Raw genomic sequence first — 20,300 nt, 5'->3', positions numbered from 1 at the left:
AAAAATTATTACCTAGTAACTTGTGTCCCAGTTACGTTTTCCAGCATGTCACAGAGTGTGAGAAAAATCCCTCTCACACTTTTAAGTTTCTGAGATGCTTCAGACATTGGATAATGATAAAGAATTTCCTGCTGTTAAATGAAACAAATGATCAAACCACCCAATTTTCCAACCATTATCTTTGTCAGGGCAAGTTCAAACTTTGTGTTAAGAAAAGAACAAAAAATGAATCCTTTCAGCTTCAGTGGGAGTTTTGTTCAAACACAAGGGGAGAACTATGCTTGGAATTTTAACACATTAACTAGCATGTAAAAGACTACACTTGAAAATAAGTTAGAGACTGCCGAAATTAGTCATAATAACAAATAATATACTAAGTAGGATACTGATTAATTTACATTACAAATCATTTAAAACAGTTTTAAACTTTAATCTCTTTAATAATAATTTATAATACTAATATTTTATTATAGTTTGTTAATACTATACAGTTATTCTCGTCCCCTGTGGTTACATAGCTACACAGGTACCACAAGTAACTATTAAGAGTCTTTAAATTTAATTACTTTTACATTATTTTTTAAAAGACAATATTCAACATTTTTGGTGAAATCATTAAATCCAAGCCAAGACAGCAATTAAACTTACAAAGTGAGAATACAGAACTAAATTATAATATAGATAATAAGAAAAAAGTGTCACGATATTATAAAATCTTATTTGTCAAATTAGAAACACTGTGTATACCACAAACTAATCTGAATTCAAACTTTAAAAGAGCATATTTTATTTTAAATCATGGAAAATACTAGACATACAAGATAATTCACAAAATGCTTTATATTTTTCTGTTTTCAAGAAGAGCATGTCCCGGGAAACAGATAGTTTTTACAAAATAAAATGACAAACTTCAAAATCAGGATGTGCGCTGTGCTAATACTTTCATACAAAGAGATGAACCATTCTGTACCTCATTTTTTGTTGTTACTTAAAGCAACATTTATTTCTCTCACAAGGAAAATTAAAAGCAGGCAAAATGAAAATGTTCAGAGAGGAACCATGAAGAATTCAGAGTAGCTTCCAGTTGCCCTGTTTAATGACTGTATCCATAAATATTAATATTGCCACCATTGAAAACCCAAACTCCTTAAATAGTATCATGTATTTTCTCTGGTTCTCCAGCTCTCTAAAGAGTATTATATATCTTGCTGCGGTCTCGCTATACAATAAATAATTACATGATATGGTCTCCATGTCTTGCCAACTTTTACATTATGACAAATATAAATAAAGTGGAGACATCTGCTTTTTATACTTAGTAAGCACATTCAATATATGCAAATTGCTATAGAATATGCTGGCCAAATACACTCTGCCTAACAACTAAAATTGTATTGCAGTAATTCTAGTGTAAAAAAGTTACAAAACATTATTTTATATCTAGAAATTAAGTTAAATATCAGTTAAGATCTTCTGTTGTCTACTTAATAGATTTAAATCTTGGCCAATAAATAATTTTATTGCATTTAGCCAAAATACCATACACTACTTTAAACAAAAAAAACCCATATACTCTTTGAATAGTTTTTCGAAATCTCCAAGCTTATGGTCTTTACATTTTGAAATCTTGTGACTTGAAGAAGCTAAGCTTTTATTAAATATGTAACTCACAGAAAACAAAATGACCTTATGACATTTTGTTATAAATTAAGCCATACCAGTTAAAAAAGGTCTTTTGAGAAGGTCTCTATTCCAGTCATAAAAGCCTCACTATTAAAGACCTGGCAAGCTCTACGGTTCCTAACCAATTTAATTAGCTGTATTTTTAAGCACTTATTAGTAGCATGCATTTGCAGCAGCTTCCACTCTGTTCAATAAGAATAAAAGCCTCTCTTAATTACAATGTTGATACAGGGCTGGCAACAGACAGAAACCTGTTCTTTTGAGAAACATCTACACACTTTCCCATGGAAAGAAAGGCAAGGATGACAAAAGGTCTTAGCAGTATCTTACTCCAAAACGACTTAGAAAGATTCAGGATGTTATCATCCCGGAAATTTGTTTTATGTTTTATATAACAAATGCTTAAATATTTCATTTGTTTTAAAAATATAAAGGATCAGTACTACACACAAGAAATTAGAATTATTAACTCTAGGTCTGTATGTATTTTTCAGAACACAGAAAATAAAAAAAATGTGTCTAAGTAAATTCCTTCTTTGCCATTTTGATTATTCACTAAATTTTGATATATGAAGCAACACAAGGAAATGCATCCTTTTGGATAAAATAGCTTTAGCATTGAGAATACAGACTGGAAGGATTTCAAAAAGAAAGAGATACAGATTAGTTAAAAACATTTTAAATCTCACTTCTGTTCAAAGCATTATGTTTGACTAGATGCTCTGAGAGACCCTTGCGCTGTAAAACCAGATCCATGGCCAGAACATACTTTTCAAATTGCTGACATGCAAGAAGCAGAGAGGTTTCCAAGGACAACCTTCTAACTTCCTCCATTACTGCAGAGCAAGTTAGGGTCTCTGCTGGGAGTGTTGAGTGGTGGGCAGAAAGACAGAAGCAGGGCTGTCCTGAGGGCTGATTCCCACGACAGCTTCCATCAGGACACTGAGTACTGGGCTAGGAACAAGGTAGGTGAGCTGAGCCTAGAACCACTGTATTAAGCCCATACCCTCAAGTAAGGCTGAAATATCCTAGGTCAGTGGCAAAAGCAGAAGAAGTAAATTATCTCTGGAGGAGAGCATCCCCTCATTAGAATGACAAGACTCCCAAAGATAACATCAAGCAATAAGTTTAGTCAAAGATCCCCAAGGACATAAGAAGGGAAACCATTACAAGTGAGAATCCACTTAGGACTAGAGCTAGTAGAATCTAGTAGATCTAGAATAGAGTATAGAGTCTACAAGTATAGAGTCACAAAGATGAGCAAGCAACAAGAGACGATCGGGGATATCATGGCAGATTTGAAATGTTGATTAAGCACTATTCAGAAACTTCTAAAAATAAATATATAATTGTTTAAATAGAAAACACAATGGAGAGATTAAACAACAGTTTGGGCACAGAATACTAAAAGCTGAACAAACACTAGAAAAGGCATATTCCTTACAAAGGAATGATAGACTGACAGTAGACTTCTTAACAGCAATAATAGAGGTCAAAAGACAAAGGGATACTATCTTCAAATAGATTAGAGAAAATAACTATCTACTTAGGTGGCACAAGCAATCCCACGTATTCACTTGATCTTCTTCCTGGCCACACAGGAAGGCTACATTTCTTACTTCCTTGCATATGGATAGACCATGTGACTAATTCTACCCAGTGGAACATGAGCAGAAATGATGATACTTCTTTCAAGTCAGGTCTCCAAAATGTCCCATGTGATACTGCCTGCCTTCTCTCTTCTCTCATTGGCAGCTAGATGCAAAGGATCTAACAGAGGACTCCTAAGCCCTTGGGAATAATAGGAACACTAGAAGAAAGGCTGGAGTCACTGAGCCACATGACCAGGAACAGTTAAATGAAATGAGATCTAAACTTTCATCATGTTAAGCCACTGAGACATTAGGATTGTTTGTTATAGCAAGTAGCCTACCCAGATGAATACAATCTAGAATTATCAAGCTACCTTTCAGGAAGAGGTAAAAGAAGACATCATCAGATAAATAACAACAAAAAGAATTGATCACCCACACACTTTCACTAAAAAGAAATATTTAAAATATGTTTTAGGAAGAAAAGAATGATCCAATAAAGACAGTTTCCGATGTAAGAGGATGATGAGTAAAGAAAAAGTGAGGCACAATTGTAAATTTAAACTAGGTACAGCTGTATGAAATACATAATATTTATATTAAAAACAAACATATAAATATATGCAATATATAATTATATTTATATCATTTATATATTGTATAATATATACTTAATTTATAAATTTTTTGGTGTATAAAATGTAATAATAATAAGTAGTAGTAGTATAATTATAGATGATGGAGAAAAGAGATAGCACTAAAATATTGATGACAATAGCACATGAGTAAAGGAAGGGTAACTGAAACTAAGGTGTATTAAGGGCTTTGAATTATTTGAAAAGGGGTTAAGATAGTGTTTCACTTTAGTATCTGTTAAGACAAATATCATGTTAAATTTTAAGTGTAATCATTTAAAAAAAAGAAAGAGTATATAGCAAGAATAATGATACAAGCAACGAAAAATAGGTAAGAAAAATATCACAGAAAAAGCAGTTCCAGTAGAAATTTTTAAAGAAGATAGCAGACATGAATTCAAATATATCAGTAATCTCTATAAATGGACTCACTGAGTTTGTCTGTTAGAAGACAGAGACTGCCAGATTGGAAACAGGCTGCGTGTAAAAGATATGTCAAATACATAAAGACACGGACTGAGAAAAAGAAAGAAAAAAAATTCAAATACTTATAAAATAAAGCTCTATGATATTAAATATTATTTTTAAAACATTAATGTTAAAAAAGGACTTTAAGACAGAAACAAACTAGGGTGGAGAGGATCATATCATGATGTCAAAAAGTTTAGTTTTCTCCAGGAAGATTTAATAATTCTAAACATTAATGCACCTAACAAAATTGTCTCAAAATATATAAAGCATAAATATTTAGAACTGGAGGGAAAAATGGACAAATCCTCATCAGAGGGGGAGATTTCTATATCTTTCTTAATTATGAATAGGCAAAGCAGACAAGAAACCAATAAAAGATAAAACTTGAACAAAACAATTAACAGCCTCAAAACATTGAGGTTGAAAGGTAACCTGGTATCAAAGAAAGGGCATAGAATTTGGAAACACTTCAGCTTAAGTAGAAATTGTCAGTTACTAGCTATGTGAACTTAAACATTTTACTTATCTTTACTAGGATTATGTCCTTTACCTGCAAATAAAAATACCAAATATCTGATATTATGCTAGACAAAAAGTACGTATTCAGTAAACATTGAAAATGAATTTAAAAAATAATATGTAAAACATAAAAACTATTTACAACCTATGGAAGAAAGTTAATGCTACATCCCCCTGCATTAAAAGCTATTAATAGCAGGAGGGGATTGATTGTAACAGAGCACAGAGGAAATTTTTTGAGGTGATAAAAATGTCCCATATCATGATTGTGATACTGGTTATAAAAGTGTAATATATTTGTCAAAACTCATCAGATTGTACACTTAAAATTGTTGAATTTTATTATGTATAAGTAATAATTCAAGGAAACATATCAAAAAAAGCTAAAAAGACCTTAGCTTCTAAGTTAAAAGATATTGCAACGATACCTTCCTCTTTTTTCTTTTCCTACAGAAATAACTGAATAATTTGTTTTCATTTTAAAAACATTTGTGGTATGAAATATTCATATCTATAATAGAGTATTAGATACACAATTTTAAAGAAAAACAGTTAATTCATTTTTGTCTCTTGCTTAAATCAAATATACTCACTATTCACTGGGAATACGATAAAAGGTCCTTACTTTTTCCTTTGGGCTTTTGACTAAACTTATTTCCTTTGGACTTTTGAGGACACTCACCTCTTCCTTTGAGGTTTCTGAGTCGAGCTGTAGTGTGAGATACATAATGATATGAGGAGTGTTTAGGCCACTCTGCTGGATACCTTCAACCTCTTCTCCCCAGAGAAGCTTGACTAAATCACTTGTGTTGGACTGTGTCTTTTTCTGTCTTGGATGGGACGTCTCCCTTTTCACATCATATGCATTTTCAAATGTCAGTTTCACCTTTAAAAATTAAAACAATGTGTTGACTTTTCGACAAGGGAAAATCAGCTGCAGTTTTCACAATGAAGGATCTGTGCATGTACATACACCCAGGTATGTACAGTATATATAAATCATCCTAGAGTGAGTGCTCCTGATGGCTGGGACTACGTATTCTATTTATATTTGTATCTTCGGCTCCTAGGAGAGTGTCTGATACATATTACCACAAATATTTATTGAATAAGAATTATAATGTTCTGTATAAAATTCATTTAATTAAACATAATCATTGCAGTCTAAATTGTTGACTATAAAAATAAGAAAGGCCATCAAAAACCAGAAATTAGTATGATCTGATAGTGCAAAAAGAATAACACCACAATATCAATGCCGATAGCACTGGCTTATCTGGGAAGATAGAAGGAAGACATTCAGCATTAAGAGTGACTTCACACAACCAAAGTTAACTCTCCTTTCAAATAAGGTGGTATTTCAAATATTCTTCTCTCAGACATTCTTTCTGGTTCTTTAAAACAAAGGCCAAGGAAAGTAAACGCTATCAGCATGCTGGATCTTAGACCAACATGGCTCTAAGAAGATTATCAATTTTATCAAGAGAGTTTTAATTTCATGGCCTGATGTCAAGATTGGTAAGAGTCCAGAATGTGGCCATTTTCCACAGGTATGGAAAGGTAGCCTCCATTTCTCAATTACCTAATGGTTCTGGTACTGGTCTGTGGCCTGGGGGTTGGGGACCCCTGGTGTAAGAGGATGCCCTTATTCTTAGGAGATACATTTCAAAGTACTTAGGGATGAAGTATTAAAATTACCTATCCTTGGAAAAGGAAATATTTGTCTAGATACCAATTGGTCAAAGATAACTCGTTCATTTCAAAGAAGTACCAAAATTGGATAGCCACACATAGAAGAATGAAACTCTGTCTCTCACCGTACACAAAAATTAACTTAAGATGGATTAAAGACTTAAATCTAAGACCTGAAACCATAACAATTCCAGAAGAAAATGTACTCTTTGGATACTGGCATAGGCAAAGAATTTATGACTAAGACTCCAAAAGCAAATGCAACAAAAACGAAAATAAATAAATGGGACCCAATTAAACTAAAAAGCTTTTGCACAGCAAAATAAATAATCAACAGAGTAAACAACCTACAGGATGGGAGAAAATAGTTGCAAACTACGCATCTGACAAAAAAACTAATATTCAGAATCTCTAAAGAACTCAAATCAGCAAGAAAAAAGTAATCCCATTAAAAAGTGGGCAAATGACTTGAACAGACATTTGTCAAAAGAAGATATACAAATGGTCAACAAACATGAAAAAATGCTCAACATGACTAATCATCAGGGAAATGCAAGTTAAAATAAAATGAGGTACCTACCACCTTACTCCAACCAGAATGGACATTATTAAAAAGTCAAAAAACAATAGATGGAGCAGACGTGGTGAAAAGGGAACGCTTATGCCCTGCTGGTGGAAATGTAAATTAGTACAACCTCTATGGAAAACAGTATGAAGACTTCTAAAAGAACTAAAAGCAGATCTATTATTAGATCCAGCAACCCCTCTACTGGGTATCTACCCCAAATTCCTTTATCTGAGAATGAGGATTTAGGAGTACCCAAAAGAAAGTATATGGAAGACTTTGGTGGTGTTCCCTGGAAATTTGAGAACTCTTTGGGGAATTCCTGAGTATAGACTTTGTGACAGATAGATGGGAGCTCTGAAGATTGTCCCCTGGCATTGGGCTTTAGGAAGGAGCTCTGAGTGGAGATGTGTGAGCGGTACAGAAGGGGAGAAATCAAATCAGAGGGAGCATGAGATGAGTCACATCCTAGGGAAGCAGGTGTCACAGAGATGAAGCTGGAGTGTCTATGAGAGTTGTGCATAAGAAGTGGTGACAAGAAAGCGGGTCCTCAGAGAAAGAAACGCATCTCAGAACAAGGAAGGCATCTTTCCCAGCTGAGATTCTTATGGGTGGAGAGGTAGGGTGCAACCTACCAAAAATAAAAAAAGGGAAATTTTTAAGTCTACCAAAAATAGACTCAAAAATTCACCAATTTTCTTCAGGCAGCAGCAACAACCTCAAATTTAAGATTGGTTTGCTATGCTTGGTGAAAAACAACATACTTGAAAACTAGTGTTATACTTGGCAAACAACATCATTTATTTTCTGTGGTGCAAGGACCTTTTTGTCTCACCACAACAAAAACTCAAACAAAAACACACACCACCGAACCATCCATTAAAATTCCTTAGGGAACTATTTCAGCCACTATTCTTCTGATTTAAGTAAAGTTGGCTCCATAATACAAATAAAATTATACTTTAAAAAGACATTTTTAAAAGCTTACATGTTAAGTAGCTACAAATGTCAGGAAATCTGGTTGCCTTGATAAAATGGTAAAGGGTGAGACAGATAACCAAATTAAGAGTTAAGTGCTATTTTAAAAAATAGGTTGATATACATAAATATTAGGGATATTATATGTTTTATAGGGAAAAACTTTTATTAAATGATACTTAACATAAGTTAGTTTACATGAAGCTTCTTATAAAGGGTTTTCTCTTATTACTCGGTGAGACTTTAACCTGGTACAAGGTTCAGGATCCTTCGTGTCCTATGTCCCTCTTCTTTGTGCGGTTTGCCCAGCCTTTCCTCAGACCCAAGGACGCACTCTCTATGACTCATCACTTCCAAAGTCTTGTTGCTTTGTCTTTTCTTTCTACTTCAGTCTTTAGCCCATCCTATTTAAAAAGCAATGTCTCTTCCAAACAAAGAAATCATCTACCAAACAAAGAAATCCTCTGATTCCCCTTTAGCTACCATCCTCTTCACAGATGGGACCTGGGGAGGCTGTCAGAATCTGCAGCAGCTGTGGAAGCTGACCAGTCTGTCACCTCTGCTTCAGTCTGCACCGTCTCTCCCATCATCTACACTGCTCTCTGCATGTGTTGTCCTTTCCCTGTTGGCTAACAGCTGGCAGATGATTTCAATACTCCTTAGTCAAAATTCTGAGGGAATCGAGTCTGACTGGCTCAGCAGATTATCTCTCCTCCATCCTCTTCTCTTCTTGGGCCACCTCACTGAGTGACTCAAGACAAAACTTGGAAGGCTTCTTGGACTTCTCTCTCTCCTGTAGAAAATATTGTCCTCTTTCCTTCCTCTCTATCTTAAATCTAATCTCCTCCTCCATCCCCGGTCAATAAAGGCTCAGGCCTTTATCATCTCTCTTCTGGACTACTGCAAACCCAACCACCTGGTTTCCTGACCTCCTGTCTTGCATATGCCTCCCCCATCCAGAGTGATATATTCCTAAAATGCAAATTTGATTTGCATGTAAGTCCTGCACTTTAAAATGTTGATATAAATGGTTACTTCTGGGTTCTGAGAATAGATTTACAAATATTTAAAAAATTTTACTAGTTTGTTTTCTAATTTTTCCACAGTATATGTATCATTTCTGTGTAACAAGGAAATAATAAAAGTTAAAACACTCCACTCAAGAATCATTTCCTTTAAGAAGCCTTTGCCCCCTCCTTTAGGCCTAAGAACTACCTGAGAAAGAAGAGTCCAAGACTAATAATCTTCAGGCTGTTCTCCTAGAAAAGGAGTTAGGTTCCTCCAAAGCTCTAAAAAAGCCAGCTATGGCCCAGTACTAAATGAAATCAGTCTTCGTCATCTGCAAAATTTGGACCCAAGCTCCCGGATAAAGACGGGAAGAGACGATGTACTACAAGCATGATTATGTACCTGTTAAATGAATGAGAGCACAGAGCTGCAGAAACGGATCAGGGTCACAAAAGTCAACAATTAGATGGGTATTTGCACCTTTGTTCTTGTTATTTAAAATTTCGAAAACCTCTTCTTTAAATCAACATTTTATTTTAGAAATTTTAAAACTACAGAAAAGTTGTAAGAAGAGAACAATGATTGCCCATAATCCCACACCTAATGGCACTATTGCTCACATTTTGTCACATTTGCTTCATTTTGTCTCTTCTCTCTGGTCTTCCTTTCCTTTCCTTCCATACTCCTCTCTTCTCTATATGTATTTTTTAAGTTTCTTGGCTGAACCTGCAAATTATTTGCAGGTATTTTAACACATTGTCCCTAAGTACTTCAGCAGGTATCTCCTAAGGATAAGGGCATCTTCTTACAGGCCATGGACAGGTACCAGAACCATTAGGAACCAGGTGGCATAGCAGGAGGTGAGTGGCCAGTGAGCGAAGCTTCATTCATATTTATAGCCACTCCCCATCACTCACATTATTGCCTGAGCTCTACCTCCTGTCAGATCAGTGGTGACATTAGATTCTCCCAGGAACACAAAACCTGTTGTGAACTGTGCATGTGGGGGATCTAGGTTGTGCACTCCTTATGATAATCTAATGCATGATAATCTGTCACTGTCTCCTGTCACCCCCAGATGGGACCATCTAGTTGCAGGAATACAAGCTCAGGGCTCCCACTGATTCTACATTATGGTGAGTTGTATAATTATTTCATACTAATAGAAATCGTGCATACAATAAATGTATACTTGACTCCTCTTGCATGTTTAACAAGGATGGATTAATTGTGGATGGAACTGGTCCAAAATATTAAATCCTAATTTCTTTCTCTCCCTTTTTCTTCTGCTAAGTGTGCACAGTTGAATTTGCAAAGGTTAATTAAATATAAGTATAATGTGATTCTGCTGTAAACATAACTTTTCATATTTTTGAAGAAAGAATAGACATGATTGAACTCTGGCAATACTGGAAGCACACCTGCAACCAACATAGGCAAGAAAAGGGGATCCCTCACTCAGGATAATACATAGCTACTCCACTTGGGGGAAGCTGACTCACTTGTCAAAATACTGCAATTCTTCACTATTAATCAATAAGTAGCTGCTGTCTGAGCACCCTGAAGTACCCTAGTACCCTCTGTTGGACCTCCCCACATCTAGTGACTAAAGTGGGTAACAGTACAACCTACTCTAGCACCATGGCTGGCTGATGTCCCCCTGATTGTTACTATTTCAAACACCACCCCATCTCCATCTCCATCTCGCTATCCATTCCTAGGCATTGCTGGTCTCAGCTACCATAGTTATTCCAGCACTTTCATTTTACATTTCCAAAGATAGCTAAATTTACAGAGCATCTGTGTGTGTGTGTGCATGCGCACACATACATGTGCATACAAAGTATGTTTAAAACAAATAAATGGGCATTAGGGAAACCTTGTTTCCCAGAAAATAAGGAATTTCATCATGTGCCTTATTATTTCAGAATCTCAAATCAGATGCAGCTGAGATTCTGATTTATCAGGGATTCTATTCTTCAACCTGACCAATCCAAAAACGACTTCATCCTCTCACTGCCTGATGGGTCCTCTGTCCCACCAGTCTCCAGACTTTTTGGCACCAGGGCCTGGTTTCATGCAAGACGATTTTTCCACAGACCAGGGTTGGGGGACGGTTTCAGGATGATTCAAGCACATTACATTTATTGTGCACTTTATTTCTATTATTATTATAATACATTGTAATATATAATGAAATAATTATACAACTCACCATAATGTAGAATCAGTGGGAACCCTGAATCTGTTTTCCTGCAACTAGATGGTCCCATCTGGGGGTGATGGGAGACAGTGACAAATCATCAGGCATTAGATTCTCATAAGGAGCATACAACCTAGATCCCTTCCTTTCATGCACAGATCACAATAGGGTTCGTGCTCCTAGGAGAATCTAATGCCACCCCTGATCTAACAGGAGGTGGAGCTCAGACACTAATGTGAGCGATGGGGAGCAGCTGTAAATACAGATGAAGCTTTGCTCGCTTGCCCACTGCTCACTTCCTGCTGTGGAGTCCAGTTCCTAACAGGCCACGAACCACTACCAGTCCGTGGCCCAGGGTTTGGGGACCCCTGCTCTAACCCACATAAAGCATATAATCTTCCCTATCCCCCCAAAAAGAGAATGCTAATTCCTGATGCTATCTAGAACAGAGTATTCATGGTATACTCTGTTACCAAAAGGTATAGCACTTGCAAAATACCCCTAATAACTGAAAAACATCATCTACGATACACAATGTCAATGTTTAGGGTATCAAAATTACTTTTTATAAAATAAATTTATTTCTATCTACAAGGATTGAAAAATAATTCCTTAAGTAGCCAAACAAAAGTCCAGGAGAAAAGCTTAATTAAATAACAAAAAAAATCAAGAAACTTGTATGATTTGTTTTTAAAATAAAATCACATTGGAAAAAAAAACATTATAGCAACAGTGATCTTAGTAAGTCAGAGAACAGAAAACTCCCTGACTATTTAAAATGACTCTTCTAGGAACCAGATTGTCACAAGCATATATGGTAGTTATAATGGCAAGTTTGCAATTATGTATGTTTTCATTACTGTTGCTGTTACTGCTTTATGTAGAATTTTACTTGTAGATATTTTTCTCTCTTTTTAGAATAATCTCCAGAAGCTAATAATATTAGCAAGAGCTAAATTTTCTTAAATAGGCAAGTATCAGTGTAACTCATCCATTATACATGATACTTTTCAGACGCTTAAAAAGGAAAATAGTGCACGATATATTTATATATTTATTTTATGTAACATCATAAAATATAGAAAAAGAATGTCCATACCTGCATAGGTCCAGGAATGCAAGACAGAACTCTCTCGATGTTTTCAGTAGTAACATCGACATCATTCACAGCAACAAGGACATCACCTGAAACCAGAATAACAATAAAAGATAGTTTTATGAATATCTAAAAACCATAGAGGTCTAGAATTGGAACATTAAACAGCTACTCTGACATCCTCAAAGTACAGTGAGAAATCTGGTGCAGACAAGCAGGAACTTGTCCAGGTTTATACAGCTCATTGGTGGCAGGGCTACTCTCCTAACTTTACTCTTCTTAATCTATAATACTGCCCATTATTGCACCATAAATAATACAACCTATGAATATTTTAAAAAATAACTATTTTTATTCTTGATACAATTGGGAGAATTATGTAAACCCAAAGAACAAATGGAAAATTTGTTAGCATGAACCAAATACTGTACTTGACAAAACTGAATCTAACCACTTAGACCCACAGTAAAAACAAAACAGAGGAGCCAAGATGGCCAAATAGGAACAGCTCCCGTCTACAGCTCCCAGTGTGAGCGACGCAGAAGACAGGTGATTTCTGCATTTCCATCTGAGGTACCGGGTTCATCTCACTAGGGAGTACCAGACAGTGGGCGTAGGTCAGTGGGTGCGCACACCGTGTGCAAGCCAAAGCAGGGCGAGGCATTGCCTCACTTGGGAAGCGCAAGGGGTCAGGGAGTTCCCTTTCCGAGTCAAAGAAAGGGGTGACGGACGCACCTGGAAAATCGGGTCACTCCCACCCGAATATTGCGCTTTTCGGACCGGTTTAAAAAACGGCGCACCACGAGATTATATCCCGCACCTGGCTCGGAGGGTCCTACGCCCACGGAGTCTCGCTGATTGCTAGCACAGCAGTCTGAGATCAAACTGCAAGGCGGCAGCGAGGCTGGGGGAGGGGCGCCCCCCATTGCCCAGGCTTGCTTAGGTAAACATAGCAGCCAGGAAGCTCCAACTGGGTGGAGCCCACCACAGCTCAAGGAGGCCTGCCTGCCTCTGTAGGCTCCACCTCTGGGGGCAGGGCACAGACAAACAAAAAGACAGCAGTAACCTCTGCAGACTTAAATGTCCCTGTCTGACAGCTTTGAAGAGAGCAGTGGTTCTCCCAGCACGCAGCTGGAGATCTGAGAATGGGCAGACTGCCTCCTCAAGTGGGTCCCTGACCCCTGACCCCCGAGCAGCCTAACTGGGAGGCACCCCCCAGCAGGGGAACACTGACACCTCACACGGCAGGGTATTCCAACAGACCTGCAGCTGAGGGTACAGTCTGTTAGAAGGAAAACTAACAAACAGAAAGGACATCCACACCAAAAACCCATCTGTACATCACCATCATCAAAGACCAAAAGTAGATAAAACCACAAAGATGGGGAAAAAACAGAACAGAAAAACTAGAAACTCTAAAACGCAGAGCACCTCTCCTCCTCCAACGGAACGCAGTTCCTCACCAGCAACGGAACAAAGCTGGATGGAGAATGACTTTGACGAGCTGAGAGAAGAAGGCTTCAGACGATGAAATTACTCTGAGCTACGAGAGGACATTCAAACCAAAGGCAAAGAAGTTGAAAACTTTGAAAAAAATTTAGATGAATGTATAACTAGAATAACCAGTATAGAGAAGTGCTTAAAGGAGTTGATGGAGCTAAAAACCAAGGCTCGAGAACTACGTGAAGAATGCAGAAGCCTCAGGAGCCGATGCAATCAACTGGAAGAAAGGGTATCAGCAATGGAAGATGAAATGAATGAAATGAAGCGAGAAGGGAAGTTTAGAGAAAAAAGAATAAAAAGAAATGAGCAAAGCCTCCAAGAAATATGGGACTATGTGAAAAGACCAAATCTACGTCTGATTGGTGTACCTGAAAGTGATGGGGAGAATGGAACCAAGTTGGAAAACACTCTGCAGGATATTATCCAGGAGAACTTCCCCAATCTAGCAAGGCAGGCCAACGTTCAGATTCAGGAAATACAGAGAAGGCCACAAAGATACTCCTCGAGAAGAGCAACTCCAAGACACATAATTGTCAGATTCACCAAAGTTGAAATGAAGGAAAAAATGTTAAGGGCAGCCAGAGAGAAAGGTCGGGTTACCCTCAAAGGGAAGCCCATCAGACTAACAGCGGGTCTCTCGGCAGAAACCCTACGAGCCAGAAGAGAGTGGGGGCCAATATTCAACATTCTTAAAGAAAAGAATTTTCAACCCAGAATTTCATATCCAGCCAAACTAAGCTTCATAAGCAAAGGAGAAATAAAATACTTTACAGATAAGCAAATGCTGAGAGATTTTGTCACCACCAGGCCTGCCCTAAAAGAGCTCCTGAAGGAAGCACTAAACATGGAAAGGAACAACCGGTACCGGCCGCTGCAAAATCATGCCAAAATGTAAAGACCATTGAGACTACGAAGAAACTGCATCAACTAACGAGCAAAATCACCAGCTAACATCATAATGACAGGATCAAATTCACACATAACAATATTAACTTTAAATGTAAATGGACTAAATGCTCCAGTTAAAAGACACAGACTGGCAAATTGGATAAAGAGTCAAGACCCATCAGTGTGCTGTATTCAGGAAACCCATCTCACGTGCAGAGACACACATAGGCTCAAAATAAAAGGATGGAGGAAGATCTACCAAGCAAATGGAAAACAAAAAAAGGCAGGGGTTTCAATCCTAGTCTCTGATAAAACAGACTTTAAACCAACAAAGATCAAAAGAGACAAAGAAGGCCATTACATAATGGTAAAGGGATCAATTCAACAAGAAGAGCTAACTATCCTAAATATATATGCACCCAACACGGGAGCACCCAGATTCATAAAGCAAGTCCTGAGTGACCTACAAAGAGACTTAGACTCCCACACATTAATAATGGGAGACTTTAACACCCCACTGTCAACATTAGACAGATCAACGAGACAGAACGTCAACAAGGATACCCAGGAATTGAACTCAGCTCTGCACCAAGTGGACCTAATAGACATCTACAGAACTCTCCACCCCAAATCAACAGAATATACATTTTTTTCAGCACCACACCACACCTATTCCAAAATTGACCACATAGTTGGAAGTAAAGCTCTCCTCAGCAAATGTAAAAGGACAGAAATTATAACAAACTATCTCTCAGACCACAGTGCAATCAAACTACAACTCAGGATTAAGAATCTCACTCAAAACTGCTCAACTACATGGAAACTGAACAACCTGCTCCTGAATGACTACTGGATACATAACGAAATGAAGGCAGAAATAAAGATGTTCTTTGAAACCAACGAGAACAAAGACACAACATACCAGAATCTCTGGGACGCATTCAAAGCAGTGTGTAGAGGGAAATTTATAGCACTAAATGCCCACAAGAGAAAGCAGGAAAGATCCAAAATTGACACCCTAACATCACAATTAAAAGAACTAGAAAAGCAAGAGCAAACACATTCAAAAGCTAGCAGAAGTCAAGAAATAACTAAAATCAGAGCAGAACTGAAGGAAATAGAGACACAAAAAACCCTTCAAAAAATTAATGAATCCAGGAGCTGGTTTTTTGAAAGGATCAACAAAATTGATAGACCACTAGCAAGACTAATAAAGAAAAAAAGAGAGAAGAATCAAATAGACACAATAAAAAATGATAAAGGAGATATCACCACCGATTCCACAGAAATACAAACTACCATCAGAGAATACTACAAACACCTCTACGCAAATAAACTAGAAAATCTAGAAGAAATGGATAAATTCCTCGACATATACACTCTCCCAAGACTAAACCAGGAAGAAGTTGAATCTCTGAATAGACCAATAACAGGAGCTGAAATTGTGGCAATAATCAATAGTTTACCAACCAAAAAGAGTCCAGGACCAGATGGATTCACAGCCGAATTCTACCAGAGGTACAAGGAGGAACTGGTACCATTCCTTCTGAAACTATTCCAATCAATAGAAAAAGAGGGAATCCTTCCTAACTCATTTTATGAGGCCAGCATCATTCTGATACCAAAGCCGGGCAGAGACACAACCAAAAAAGAGAATTTTAGACCAATATCCTTGATGAACATTGATGCAAAAATCCTCAATAAAATACTGGCAAAACGAATCCAGCAGCACATCAAAAAGCTTATCCACCATGATCAAGTGGGCTTCATCCCTGGGATGCAAGGCTGGTTCAATATATGCAAATCAATAAATGTAATCCAGCATATAAACAGAGCCAAAGACAAAAACCACATGATTATCTCAATAGATGCAGAAAAAGCCTTTGACAAAATTCAACAACCCTTCATGCTAAAAACTCTCAATAAATTAGGTATTGATGGGACGTATTTCAAAATAATAAGAGCTATCTATGACAAAACCCACAGCCAATATCATACTGAATGGGCAAAAACTGGAAGCATTCCCTTTGAAAACTGGCACAAGACAGGGATGCCGTCTCTCACCACTCCTATTCAACATAGTGTTGGAAGTTCTGGCCAGGGCAATTAGGCAGGAGAAGGAAATAAAGGGTATTCAATTAGGAAAAGAGGAAGTCAAATTGTCCCTGTTTGCAGACGACATGATTGTATATCTAGAAAACCCCATTGTCTCAGCCCAAAATCTCCTTAAGCTGATAAGCAACTTCAGCAAAGTCTCAGGATACAAAATCAATGTACAAAAATCACAAGCATTCTTATACACCAATAACAGACAAACAGAGAGCCAAATCATGAGTGAACTCCCATTCACAATTGCTTCAAAGAGAATAAAATACCTAGGGATCCAACTTACAAGGGATGTGAAGGACCTCTTCAAGGAGAACTACAAACCACTGCTCAAGGAAATAAAAGAGGATACAAACAAATGGAAGAACATTCCATGCTCATGTGTAGGAAGAATCAATATCGTGAAAATGGCCATACTGCCCAAGGTAATTTACAGATTCAATGCCATCCCCATAAAGCTACCAATGACTTTCTTCACAGAATTGGAAAAAACTACTTTAAGGTTCATATGGAACCAAAAAAGAGCCCGCATCGCCAAGGCAATCCTAAGCCAAAAGAACAAAGCTGTAGGCATCACCCTACCTGACTTCAAACTATACTACAAGGCTACAGTAACCAAAACAGCATGGTACTGGTACCAAAACAGAGATATAGATCAATGGAACAGAACAGAGCCCTCAGAAATAACGCCGCTTATCTACAACTATCAGATCTTTGACAAACCTGAGAAAAACAAGCAATGGGGAAAGGATTCCCTATTTAATAAATGGTGCTGGGATAACTGGCTAGCCATATGTAGAAAGCTGAAACTGGATCCCTTCCTTACACCTTATACAAAAATCAATTCAAGATGGATTAAAGCCTTAAACCTTAGACCTAAAACCATAAAAACCCTAGAAGAAAACCTAGGCATTACCATTCAAGACATAGGCACGGGTAAGGACTTCATGACTAAAACACCAAAAGCAATGGCAACAAAAGACAAAATTGACAAATGGGATCTAATTAAACTAAAGAGCTTCTGCACAGCAAAAGAAACTACCATCAGAGTGAACAGGCAACCTACAAAATGGGAGAAAATTTTTGCAACCTACTCATCTGACAAAGGGCTAATATCCAGAATCTACAATGAACTCAAACAAATTTACAAGAAAAAAACAAACAACCCCATCAAAAAGTGGGAGAAGGACATGAACAGACACTTCTCAAAAGATGACATTTATGCAGCCAAAAAACACATGAAAAAATGCTCATCACTGGCCATCAGAGAAATGCAAATCAAAACCACAATGAGATACCATCTCACACCAGTTAGAATGGCAATCATTAAAAAGCCGGGAAACAACAGGTGCTGGACAGGATGTGGAGAAATAGGAACACTTTTACACTGTTGGTGGGACTGTAAACTAGTTCAACCATTGTGGAAGTCAGTGTGGCGATTCCTCAGGGATCTAGAACTAGAAATACCATTTGACCCAGCCATCCCATTACTGGGTATATACCCAAAGGACTATAAATCATGCTGCTATAAAGACACATGCACACGTATGTTTATTGCGGCATTATTCACAATGGCAAAGACTTGGAACCAACCCAAATGTCCAACAATGATAGACTGGATTAAGAAAATGTGGCACATATACACCATGGAATACTATGCAGCCATAAAAAATGATGAGTTCATGTGCTTTGTAGGGACATGGGTGAAATTGGAAATCATTCTCAGTAAACTATCGCAAGAACAAAAAACCAAACACTGCATATTCTCACTCATAGATGGGAATTGAAGAATGAGATCACATGGACACAGGAAGGGGAACATCACACTCTGGGGACTGTGGTGGGGTGGGGGGAGGGGGGAGGGATAGCATTGGGAGATATACCTAATGCTAGATGATGAGTTAGTGGGTGCAGCGCACCAGCATGGCACATGTATACATATGTAACTAACCTGCACAATGTGCACATGTACCCTAAAACTTAAAGTATAATAAAAAAAATTAAAAAATTAAAACAAAACAAAACAAAAACCCACCTGAAATTCTAATTAAATCCATGTGGCATATCATAACACAATATGCTATAGTATTCACTTCTGTTATTGATCTATGTCTACAAACAGTTCTTTGCTTCAAAGGCCCCAACCATATCAAAATACACTGCATGTTTGGTAAAAATTTCCTTTTCCGTGTACTTTAAAAGAAATGTGTATGTTTTCCAAATCTGATAATAAAATAAATATCAGTGTTAAAATGGAAATTCACTTTCAGAACATAATTAAAGATACTATCAAAATACCAGTGAGCTATATTAATAGAAATATAGACATACCAAAGTTATTTTTCTCATCATTCCTAAATATATTATTAGGAAATTGATGAAATAATTCATATTCATCCATTCATTTAAGAAATATTTACTGAGCACTTAATGTGTGCCAGGCACTCTTCTAAGCACTAGAGACAAAGAATTGAACAAAGACAAAATCTCTACTCTCAGGGAGCTTAATATTCTTTGGGGAAGATGGATAATAAACATGTATACAGGCTAAGTATCCCAAATCCAAAAATTGAAAATCCAAAATCCTCCAAAATCCAAAACTTTTTGAGCACCAACGTGACCCTCAAAGGAAATGCTCATTGGAGCATTTTGGATTTAGGATTGTCAGATTTGGGATGCTCAACAGGTAAGTATAATGCAATATTAAAAAAAAAAAAATTGGAAGCACTTCTGGTCCCAGGTATTTTGAAGAAGGAGTACTCAACCTGTATATGTAGAATCGTGTTGGTAGATAATTCTTCATGAGTCTCATGTTTCTGTACATCTTACAAGCCGAGGCATTGAGAGTCTTTGTTCTAGACTGTCTTTTCAAAGACGTTCGTGTAATGAACAGCCTTGGACAACAGAGATATGTTTCCATCCTGAGCAAAGGTCAAGCTTGTTTACTGAATGGTATAATAAGGTCAATGCTGTGCTCAATATCTTATTATTAATAACTGTTCTTTATAAAAGATTGGTGTTCCCTAAGTTCAGAGTTCCTTTCCTTTAAGGCAACCCATTATTAGGCATCACTTGGCCATCTGTAGGGTTGGCAAACAGATGAAAATGTTGCCACTGTAGGTACTGCTATTCCTCCTTTTTTTCCTTCCTCTCCTTGATACTCTATTGAATGAGAATGGGGTTAAGTGCAGAGTAAGCAGGAGTACTTTCTTAGGCCAACTGTGAAGGCTTGAACTAGGTTTAGATGCTCAAGAGATACAACTCAGATGGGAGTTTTGCAAGCATGGGCACCAAGTCATTATGATGGTTAACTATTACAGCACTTTGGACAAACTTTTCTTAAAAGTAAGAACTTGCAGAC

At 37.2% G+C, this 20,300-nt stretch overlaps 1 protein-coding gene across 1 annotated transcript in view, besides 2 other annotated features; it reads right to left on the bottom strand.

Moving 5' to 3' along the window:
- The window catches only part of INTU (inturned planar cell polarity protein), a 93,781-nt gene that overhangs the window by 57,571 nt on the left and 15,910 nt on the right, over positions 1 to 20,300 (bottom strand). The window contains exons 3-5 of the mRNA NM_015693.4: positions 12,446 to 12,531; positions 5,583 to 5,786; positions 13 to 131 (exon numbers count right to left, since the gene is read on the bottom strand). Coding sequence (NP_056508.2) covers positions 13 to 131; positions 5,583 to 5,786; positions 12,446 to 12,531 — 409 coding nt within the window. The remainder of the gene's footprint in view (positions 1 to 12; positions 132 to 5,582; positions 5,787 to 12,445; positions 12,532 to 20,300) is intronic.
- Positions 12,621 to 13,219: an enhancer, noted in NCBI's record as "OCT4-H3K27ac-H3K4me1 hESC enhancer chr4:128577103-128577701 (GRCh37/hg19 assembly coordinates)". NCBI's record gives its function as "activates a minimal SCP1, AML or CMV promoter by ChIP-STARR-seq in naive H9 embryonic stem cells {active_cell/tissue: H9 hESC(naive)}" and the evidence as "EXISTENCE:reporter gene assay evidence [ECO:0000049][PMID:30033119]".
- Positions 13,220 to 13,820: an enhancer, noted in NCBI's record as "OCT4-H3K27ac-H3K4me1 hESC enhancer chr4:128576502-128577102 (GRCh37/hg19 assembly coordinates)". NCBI's record gives its function as "activates a minimal SCP1, AML or CMV promoter by ChIP-STARR-seq in naive H9 embryonic stem cells {active_cell/tissue: H9 hESC(naive)}" and the evidence as "EXISTENCE:reporter gene assay evidence [ECO:0000049][PMID:30033119]".

Source organism: Homo sapiens, chromosome 4, assembly GCF_000001405.40.
Source record: "Homo sapiens chromosome 4, GRCh38.p14 Primary Assembly".
NCBI classification, from domain to species: domain Eukaryota; kingdom Metazoa; phylum Chordata; class Mammalia; order Primates; family Hominidae; genus Homo; species Homo sapiens.
Note: the sequence above shows the minus strand (reverse complement) of the source record. Positions and strands in the feature narration are given on the sequence as shown.